The sequence below is a fragment of the Homo sapiens genome, chromosome 2, assembly GCF_000001405.40.
Source record: "Homo sapiens chromosome 2, GRCh38.p14 Primary Assembly".
NCBI classification, from domain to species: domain Eukaryota; kingdom Metazoa; phylum Chordata; class Mammalia; order Primates; family Hominidae; genus Homo; species Homo sapiens.
Genome location: NC_000002.12, coordinates 16,432,015 through 16,442,101, shown reverse-complemented (window position 1 = coordinate 16,442,101; position 10,087 = coordinate 16,432,015). Strand labels below are relative to the sequence as shown.

The 10,087-nt window shown below is 44.2% G+C and overlaps 1 long non-coding RNA gene across 1 annotated transcript in view, besides 1 other annotated feature; it reads right to left on the bottom strand.

The window, feature by feature from the left end:
- Positions 4,355-4,540: a silencer, noted in NCBI's record as "fragment chr2:16618830-16619015 (GRCh37/hg19 assembly coordinates)". NCBI's record gives its function as "represses an EF-1alpha promoter that drives an FKBP-Casp9 reporter gene in an ReSE screen in K562 erythroleukemia cells {active_cell/tissue: K562}" and the evidence as "EXISTENCE:reporter gene assay evidence [ECO:0000049][PMID:32094911]".
- Positions 9,103-10,087, bottom strand: part of LOC107985855 (uncharacterized) — a 78,008-nt gene continuing 77,023 nt past the window's right edge. The window contains exon 3 of the long non-coding RNA XR_001739298.1: positions 9,103-9,597. This is a non-coding gene — a long non-coding RNA (uncharacterized LOC107985855). The remainder of the gene's footprint in view (positions 9,598-10,087) is intronic.

Below are 10,087 nucleotides of genomic sequence, written 5' to 3'. Positions count from 1 at the left end.
GAACTGCGTTGGTGGTGAGGCAGTCCTGTTTAAATCCAATAATGGTCATTTCAGGAGTGCCCTGAAACTTCTCAGTGGGAGAAATGCCATGGTTTATGAGGAATTGAGCCAGTGACGATCTACAGCGAAGGAAGGCATTTGTCTGAGCTACCGTAGTACTCAGAACTGTGTGGAGCTGCTGGAGTGGAGAGTGCAATGATAGGACATAATCCCTGACCCTCAAGGAGCTCTTAGTCCAATAGGATAGATAGCTATGTTAACATACAGTGATGACAGAGTCATAAGAGCTATGGTGCAGTAGGCACACAGAAAAGAATGTGATCAGTTCTTCCTGTGGTCTAGGAACTGAGTCATGTGAGTGACATGGAGCAAGGTTTTGAAGGACAGGAAGGATTTTGTATTCGAGAAGGAAAGGGAAGGGTATCTGGCACATTCGAGCAAAGGTCTAGAAACAAACAGGGCAATGGCATGGCGTACAATTGGAATGTTAGTGGCATGTCAGGGAGTGGTGGGAGCTTAAGCTTGGGGCCAGACTATGCAAGGCCTGGTTTAACAGGCTAGGAAGTGGTGAGTCAATGAAGGATATTTCAACAACAGCAGTGATTGGATCACATTCTTGCTTTAAAAAAAAAGTAACTGCAGAATGGAGATTGGGAGAAGATGTCAGTCTGGAAGCAGGGAGGAAGGTTTTAGGAAGCTGTCAGGGTAATCTGGGCACTAAATGATGAAGAATGAAAAGCCACAGAAGTTGAAGCAGAGAGGAGGCAACAGGTAGAATATTTAGGGGGTGCACTCCAGAGAACAATTTGGTGAACTAGAAAGAGGTGTGTCAAATGGTGATGAGGAAGCAAGAGAACTCCAGGATAACTCTGACTAGGAGTTCGATTCTCTGAAGGAAGGAAGAGAGGAAAGGTGGAGTACACTGCAGGCTTGGCCCCGACAGAAGCAGGGGATGTGGAAGGAAATGCCATCCCCTGCTACCACCAGGGAACGAGGTCTGCACTTGTCTGGAGTGTGAAGCTTCAGCCTTACCTCACCTGCCACTTCCTCCTCAGACTCTAAGTTACTGCCTTATGGAGAGGCTGTGTCAGGGAGTGTGGGAAGCTTCTAACAGAGTTGAGCCTTCCCCTTCCACTTTAAGGGATGATCCTACACCTAGAAATAACGTTCTAAATGCAACTGCTGAGCTATTCCAAAATTTTGTAAAAAATGAAAGGAAAGATGGAACTCTGAAAAGTCAAATAAATTTGTCTAAATAATCCTACTGATAACAATAATAAAATAATTAAAAATAATGTCTACTGACAGTTTAAGTGTCTAAACAATTAATGTTTATCTAAATCCTACTACTATCTAATAACGCACTTTTCCTTCTGCACCCCTTCCCCTCTTTCCCGGGGCCTGGCCCAAATATATATATATATTTATTTATTTACTTATTTTTTGAGACGGAGTCTCACTCTGTTGCTTGGCCGGGCTGGAGTACAGTGCCAAGATCTTGGCTCACTGCAACCTCCGACTCCCGGGTTCAAGAGGCTCTCCTGCCTCAGCCTCCCAAGTAGCTGGGACTACAGGCGTGCACTTCCACACCTGGCTAATTTTTGTGTTTTTAGTAGAGATGGGGTTTCACCATGTTGGCCTGGCTGGTCTCGAACTCCTGACCTCAGGAGATCCGCCTGCCTTAGCCTCCTAAAATGCTAGGATTATAGGCGTGAGCCCCCACGCCCGGCCAATATATATATATATATATATATAATCTGTTGTAAATGTATTGCATGTGTTATAAGCCATATATCAAATAAAAACTTAGGGAAAAAAAAAGACGTTCTGATCTTTCCCCATATCCCTAAAGCTCATTTTGCACAATCTTAGTGTGTATCTACTAAATCCAGCTGAATACTTATCTAATGGATTCGTCTAATAGAATCGAATGCAATAGATTGTGCTTAAAGGGATAAATCATATTTATATTTTTTAAAAACATGAAGTGGTTAAGATAGAGGAGACTGAAGCAATAGTGAGAAGGTGAGCAAGACCGTCTCCTGGGCCTGTTGTTCTCAGAGTGAGGGACTGTTTTAGTCTAGAGGACCAGGAGAGCCTTGCTCTGTGGTGAGGGCATGACATTGTGGTATGATAGGGCCTCGCTGGTACCCACCTTGATTGGTTGGGCAGGAAGAGGGTCTGGAGAGCCAGCCCCGAGTCACTTTTCTCCTTTCTTTGGGATGAAAGGTCGACTTCCTAGCCCCCATCATTCCATCACCACACTTAAAGTGTCTCCCTGCAAGTGAAGGTCTTGGCCAGACTGGGCAACGCTCCCCACTTGGGGTCCACACATAGGTATTTCTGCTTCTGAGTCAGAAAACCATTGCACTTTGGGATTTCGTGGAAACAGCAGGTTTGTCCAAATTCCGTACAAAAACATACCTAGGTTTCGTTTTCCTTTTTTCTTAGACCTGGTTCTCAGGTTAACACAGGTAGAGACATTTAGGTGGCAGCCTACATGTGCTCCTTTGCTTCAGATAGCCCTAGTTGAAGCCCCACACTATAAATATGTCATCTTAAAACTTTGCTTGACTCTTTGAACCTGTTTGTAAACATTAAAAAAAAATACTATTTTCCTGATGGAGTTTTTGGGGATTAAATGAGATAACAAATGTAAGCATCTATTAGAGTTCTTCAACACATAGCAGACATTCAATAGTCAACACTAGCAGCTCCTCCAGGTCGTATGTGGTGTCTCCAATGCCACACAGGCTGCCCTAGAGAGGTGACTGCCAGGTGGTAAAGGCAACATCATGAATCATGTGGGGGATAAGAAGGATTGGAGGATAAGTTTCAGTTATAAAGGCTGAATTGCTTGAACTCTAGCATTGTTGATACTGCTTGTGTGTGTTAGGGGGAGGGGACATCCATGCTTGGGGGCCGTTGGAAAGGTATACAAAGGGTGCCTCTGAAGCCACCGCAAGGCGAGGGTGCTTCAACTCTCACGCCTGGCGGTCCCTTGATAACAGTGATATTTTATCAGTGTGGGCTCAGTTTTTCCTTTGGTTAAACTTCCCCTGTACCACATTGAGCAAAGCCATTGTCCTCAAAAAGAAGAATTATGTGGTGGGGAAACCACTTCTTCAGGAGAGTTGATTGTGGCCAATTTACTCCTGGGCCCAAAGCAAAGCCAAGGGTTCTGTCCGAAGAAAGAAACAGTTCTCATGAATCATGAATTATGTTTTTGGTGTGTCAAGGGCAGTTGACTGAGGGAAGACGCCTGTTTCTTTCACTACAGGATGCCAGAGCTCATAACTCTCTCTGAAGCCACAGGGTCTGCCTGTCATGTGAGGTGATTCAGAAGCAGGGGGACTGGCTGAGCCCTGGCCTCACAGTTTGTGGCCTCGGTCTGGAGTGCCTGCAGCTTGGGTCAGCTCAAAGACTGGACTAATAAACCTTGGAGGCCAGTGGCTCCTGACCCATCAATTTCATTAACCAACTCAGAGCTGTGGGCAGCAGGGAGAAAGTCCTTATTTCTCCAATGCCTTTCATACTCTGTGCTCTGGGAGAGGGCTTAGAGTGAAGTCCTTGCTTGTTTAGATGGCATTTTCTTGAGACCTGGGGATGAGCATTTACCCTGTATGAACCCAGACACCTCCCAGTTTATAGACTTGGCCCAGAGCAGGGCCTGCCTGAGCTGGTTTTGAACTCTGAGTTAAGAGTGCATCCCTGCATCTAGCACACCACCGCTCCCAGTATGCCCAGCATTTCACTCCCTTCCCAGAGAAAAGGGCAATCCTAAAAAAATGGGACATGATATATCTTAGTGGTTGAGAGTATAATCTTACAATTCAAAATAACTAGGCTTCAATTTCTGGTCCTACCATATATAGCAGATATTTTGGCAAGAGATTTCAATTCTCTAACTCTAGGTTTCTTCATTTATGAAGGGAATAATATAAAAGGACCTAGCCAGCTCATAAAATTACAATGAACATTTTATGAGATAAATGCATGAGAAGCAGCACAATTCCTGGCACGTAGTAAGACTTGGGAAGTAAGACTCAGGAAGAGCTGGTTTCTATGTTACCCTTGCACACTGCAACTGGGACATAGAATCCCGTTCCGCATGTACTGATAGACTGAACTGTGTCCATAGGACAGGGTCCAGGCTTGGAGGATACGCTAAGTCAGGTCCCATGATTAAGAAAAGATGAGACTGACCACCCTACATGAGACTCCGGGAAACTTAAGAACAACTACTTCATTCAACTAACTGAAAAGTTCAACCTACTCAGCTATCTCCACCCTTTACCAGGAAGTTTTCTCCAACCTTCTGAACTAAATGTCTCTCGTCTGGAGTTTTTAGCTCCTGCACTTCTTTGCTTCAGTGCATCTTCTCTGGGTGCTACATCATGTTGATTCACCTATCTACCCTCTCGCCCATCCCAGCCTCTGAGTGCAGGGACCAAGTCATACATATTCATCCCCTAGCACACAGCCTGGGACATAACAGCTCAGTTTTTGAATGAATTCTGAGACACCATCGTTTCTGAATGTGTCTTACTACAAACTATACCCTACAAGTCACTCTTTAGTCCTCCTTAGGAAAACGTTTTTTTCAGTCCCATCTTTCAGTTCTGTCCTGCCCCTTTCACAGAGTGAGTCACTGAGGATGCAGGCAAATCAGATTTTTTGAAGACCAAAGTAGAATGAAAGAGTGGCAGAGAGGAGAAAGTAGCACCTTAGGTGCTTGCGAAGCAAACCACAAAGTCCCAAAGAACCATCAGGGAGCTTTGCACCTGGGCTTGCCAGGAACCACAGACTACAGTAGGCAGGAGGAAGGGAGTGGAGTGGAGGTGAAGGAAACGTGAAGCTAAAACGACTGGTTTGGTTTAATATGAAAATGGGAAACATTTAAGCCTGCAAGTCTCCTCCCAGACCTTAAATAACCAAGCAAGGGACCACAGTTTAGTTTTTTAGAGAAACTGAAATGGTGACCTGTAGCCTCAGACACCAGATATAGGAGAGGGAGGGATGAAAGGCAGTGCAGAAAACAATAGGGTTAAAGGGAAATGGATTCAGCCTTCTTCCCCAAAACTCTGGAAGCCAGATATGCGCTCCTCAAGGCAGAAAATGCAGGAGTCTTGTCTATGAGAACGAAAGAGCTCAGATACGAGGCGTCCAGATGTGGGCACCTGGGAACGCCCTAACAAATGGCCAACTCGTCTTACCCTCCCTCCGGCTGTCACCACACAGTGAAATCAAGCAACCAAGCGGCTTGGTCACACAGACACAGAGGTTTCCAGTGACCTGCTCTTAAATGAGAATGAAAGACAAGGATACTAAAAGATAATGGAGTCCTGCCTTCATCATTCTGAGACAAAAATCCCAATTCAAAGTAGAATTCTTCGTCTAGCCAAATGTCAAGGGTGTGAGTATAGAATAAAGACATCCGTAGATATCAAGGCCTTAAAAAACCCCCACATTTTCTATATTTTCTTTCTTGGGAGGTTACTGGAGAAGGTTCTCCTGGAAAAAAAAAAAAGGTATATACCAAGGGAAGAGAAGATGGAGAAGATATAGGACTCAAGAAATGGTGATCCAGCAAAGCACCAGAATGGCATTTGTGCCCGGAGACAGAAGGTAAGGTGAAACAGAAAGCCAGAGGGACCCAGGAAAGAGGTCTCTGAGATGAAAAAGAAGCAGGTGCATTATATGATAGTCTTGATATTTTAAAAGGAATGTTAATAGACATATGATACAATGACTAGAGCCTGGCAAAGACTGAGAATTGATGAACACCTGGACTGGTGAGTACAATTATTAATGCCAGATTTTTTTAAAGTTGTACAAAACAGGGAATATTATCACAGGACTTATGCCCATAATAAACAATATTTACTTAATCATAACAATGCAAAAAATTATTACTAATTTTGCCAAAATTTAAATGCTACTATTTTGGAAGGGTACATAAGGGTATGGCAAACATTCTGTAAAAGGCAAGACAGTAAATATTTTAGGTTTTGTGGGCCACATACATGCTTTGTAGCATATTTTTGTTTTTGTGTCTGTTCACAACTTTTTAAAAATGTAAAATCCATCCTGATCTAAGGAACTACAGAAAAACAGGCAGGTGGCTGGATTCAGCCTGTAGGCAGTAGTGTGCAGGCCCCAGGAATCAGGGAAAGAGTGTGTGTGGGTAGTGGTGGTGGAGGCAGAAACAAGATGCTAAATCCTCACCTGTCAGTAGAGAAATGTCATATATAATATGTAAATATATTCGTCAGAAAAAAAAATCAATATAAGTGTGTTACTTAAAGACAAAGAGCTAAATCCAACGAGAAATAGTTAAAAGACTTTTAAGGATTGCCTCTAAGACTTGAGACCCAGAGTTAGGGGAGGGAGAATGGCTCTTCATTTTGCCATCATAAGCATGCAAACACAGATTGATTTCTGTTAAACTATGTGCATGTCAATTTCAAGTAACATGGATTAAAATAACAGGAAGAGTTAGTTATAATCTGGTCTTGGCTACTATTGCCTCCAGAACATCATTCTGTCCTCCCACTGTAGACCAGCAATGTGTTTTCATGCTGCTCATCTGAGAACTCTGCTTGGTCTAAGACAATCCTGATACCTCCGACCCCTTCTAGAGATGGGAGTGTGCAGGATCCCATCCTTAAATCCATCACCTGATGCCTTTTCACTGACAACAGTTATTGGGCCAGGGTTGTGCATCTACATTAGCCCCATACAGAAGGTTGTATGGTTTGAAGAGAGGCATAGACAAGAAAGTGAACAGTCCCATTTACTACTGGCAATCATTTTAACTCAGCAAGGGCTTCAGGTTGGAACTGAGGCTGTGTTTGGTAGAGCAGAGAGATGGGTCTTCAGTGACATATTTAACCAGCTGAATAAACAAAATCTGACACCCACCCAGCTGTTATGTCCTCCTCTCGATTTAGACTTTTTTAAAGTCCCTTATTGATCTCTGCATTCCCAGTGCCTGGTATTGGCTATTCTTTTTACTGCTTTTGCATAAATGAATGACTCTACCTAGAGAAACAGAAAGGAAAAATGATAACAACAACTCTAAATAATTAAGGGTTACAAATTTAACTGCGTGTGCCCCCTGGCCCCTACCAGAGGACACCCCATTCAGCCTCAGCGCCCCCCAAGCCCCAGTTGCAGGTTGGGGCTCTTGACCTCTCTTCTTCAGCTCCCAAGTCCCCTCTGCCCTGTGACCTGGGCTAAGCAGCCCCAATGGAATGTAAAAAGAAATGTCAATTGCTCTTTTTCTGGTGTATAAATGCTACTTTCCATCAGAAATAGTTTTGGACCAAAACAAGCTTTGAAAGAGCAAAAAGCTTAGCTCAATCAAGAGCTACCTTGAAGATAGGCATTTTGGTTCCATTCCTGTTGCCATGTGCTTCATGGGAGCCTCTGACTCATTTTCTATTCATTCCCAGGCTGATCAAGAATAATGATCTTAGATTCACATCCCTGGCAAGTTTCCTTACATCCTCACAGGTCTGTCAGCTGAGTCTCCTTCTGTACTCCATGGCAATGGGAACACCCGGCTGAAATACCTCCTGAAAGAAATGACTCAAAATGGTATTTATCTTCAAAAGAGTGACTTTTTATTTGCAACCTTCAACACCAGGCAAGCTTTCAGGTAAACAGAAAGGTTTGTTCCCGGGCAGCCAGCTATGCTGAGCTGAATGTATCATTTGCTGTGTTCCTGGCACTAAAGGCAGAACTTCAAGTGAGAAGTTGATGACAGAAAGCTCTGGGAGTCCGGGGCCTGAATCTGGGGTCTTGCCTCAGAAGCTGGGAAGGCTCAGAGCTGAGAGCAGGGCCAGCTCACTCCCTGGAGAAACGATTCTGCATCTAGTGACTGCAGGAGATCTCCAAGGGGCATTTCTCACCAAGAAATCCAGTCTGGATATTGTCTCCTGAGGGCCAATAAGTGTAGCTGGGATGTGGGTGAAATAAGAGAAAGTCAAAGGAAACATTTCAGTTTGGCTTTAGAAATGTCCCTACAAACTCATGATTTGTTTTCCAAACATTTTGCTTTGAAAAACCTTTATGACCAATTCATGTTTGTTTCTGAGGTGAGCACTGAGTATTTATGATAATATGGTTTGCATGAATACCAGATGTTATGCATTGAGTGATGTCCCCCCAAATTCATAAGTTGAATCCCTAGCCCCCACAGTGACTAGGGATTTGGAGACAGGGCCTTTGAGGAGGTAATTAAGGTTAAATGAGATTATAAGGGGCAGTGAGGGGTGTAAAAAGAGAAAGAGACACCAGGGGTGTGCACACACATAGAAAAGGTCACCTGAGGACAGAGTGAGAAGGCAGCTGTCTGCAAGCCAAGGAGAGAGGCCTCACCAGAAAATAATCAACCATGCTAGTTCCCTGATCTTGGATTGCCAACCTCCAGAACTGTGAGAAAATAAATTTCTGTTGGTCAAGCCACCCAACCAGTGGTATTTTGTTATGGCAGCCTGAGTTGACCAACACGCTGGAGTTTATCATACACAGAGTTGATTCCTGTACATTATTTTAATCTGTTCCTTATAATAGTCCTGAAAGAAGGAGATTATTATTATTCTAATTTTACAAATGAGATTGCTGAAACTGAAGAGATAGACAGAGATCTTCTGATAGTAAATGCAGGCTTCTTTCAGACAGTGGTAATGATGGAAGTACTCAAACCTCCTTTATCACCCTCTCCACTTGTAAATGGCTCCTCGATTGGCTTCCCCTGGCACCTGGGCCTTCACCAGAGAGCTGCCCATTTAGATTAAGACACTGACACTCTGGAAGGCCTCTAAGAAAGGGACAATGACTTCCTTGGCTGGGCAAGTGCACAAATATACTTGGCTCCCTCTAACAGAGAAGCCTATATTAGTTAATCTGCACTCTTTACACAAGCTGAGCTCATCTTAAAGCAGAGGCCATGGCTGCTTCTGCCAGTCAAGGGCACCCAGAAAGAAGCTGTTAGAGGAGGAATTCAGTAGTGATTCAGGTGGGACAAGGCCAAGGAAAGAAAATGAGAAAGCAGCAGAGGCATCCCCATGGGTTCCAATGGGGGCCGGGGTAGAGGGGATGCTGTGGGTGTCCTTCCCAACCGGAAATGATAGGTTTCTTGAAAGTGTGTAAATAGGAATAATTCTTAGAATGTGTGAAGGTATGGCACATCGCAGGGCTTCAATTATTATTTGTTGAAGGAATGAATGATCTCTAAATTGGGTCAAATGAAAGTTTCATGTCCTTTAGAACCAAGACCTTTGTTGTTGTTTTACGTTTTCTGTTTTGTTTGTATTTGTTTTTCGTAATTTGCTGTTTACAAGATACTTTACCATGCCTGGTCTCATTTGACCCTCACAATGGCCTTGTAGTGTTTGTAGGATTAACTTTATTTTACAAGTAAGGAAAGCAAGTTCCAAGAGAAAAAACTAATTCTTCAACATCCCAGGCTCCGTGGATGGTGTAAGCAGATTTTGAATCCAGGTGCCCCATCCTTCCTCTGTGCCATGTGTCCTCCTCTCTTCCTGTGGAAGGGCCATTCCAGGAGATGGTTGTTCCCATGCTCTTGTCCTAAGAAATGACAAAATACACTTTCCTCCACTGTCCTCACAGCTTTGGAGAGAATGTCACCATGTGCTGGAGCTAAGGATGAACTGATATGCTGCCAGGAGGCTCCAGCTGTTTACCTGGGCCAGCATCTGATCCAGTTGGTCAATTCACACCAACTGTTGTCATTGCTGAATAGCTTGCATGCATCTCTTCAGGCTGGGAACTGAGTGGTGACACAGGCAGGAGAAGAAAGGCAGTCCCTGCTTTCCTGGGCTGGTAGGAATGACGTGACACTGGGGTCCTCGGCATGGTGTTCCCAGTCTTCGTAGGCTGACCCCAGTCTGCCTCATCTTCCCCACACCCCTATAGCACCACTCCACACCCTCCTTTCCGCCACACTGAGCTGGAAGAATTACGAGCAATTTACCCCGACAGGTCTTGCTCTCCCATGCCTGTGCCCTCGCACACACTTTTTCGTCTACCTGGTGGCCCTTCCTCTCCTCTCCTTCAC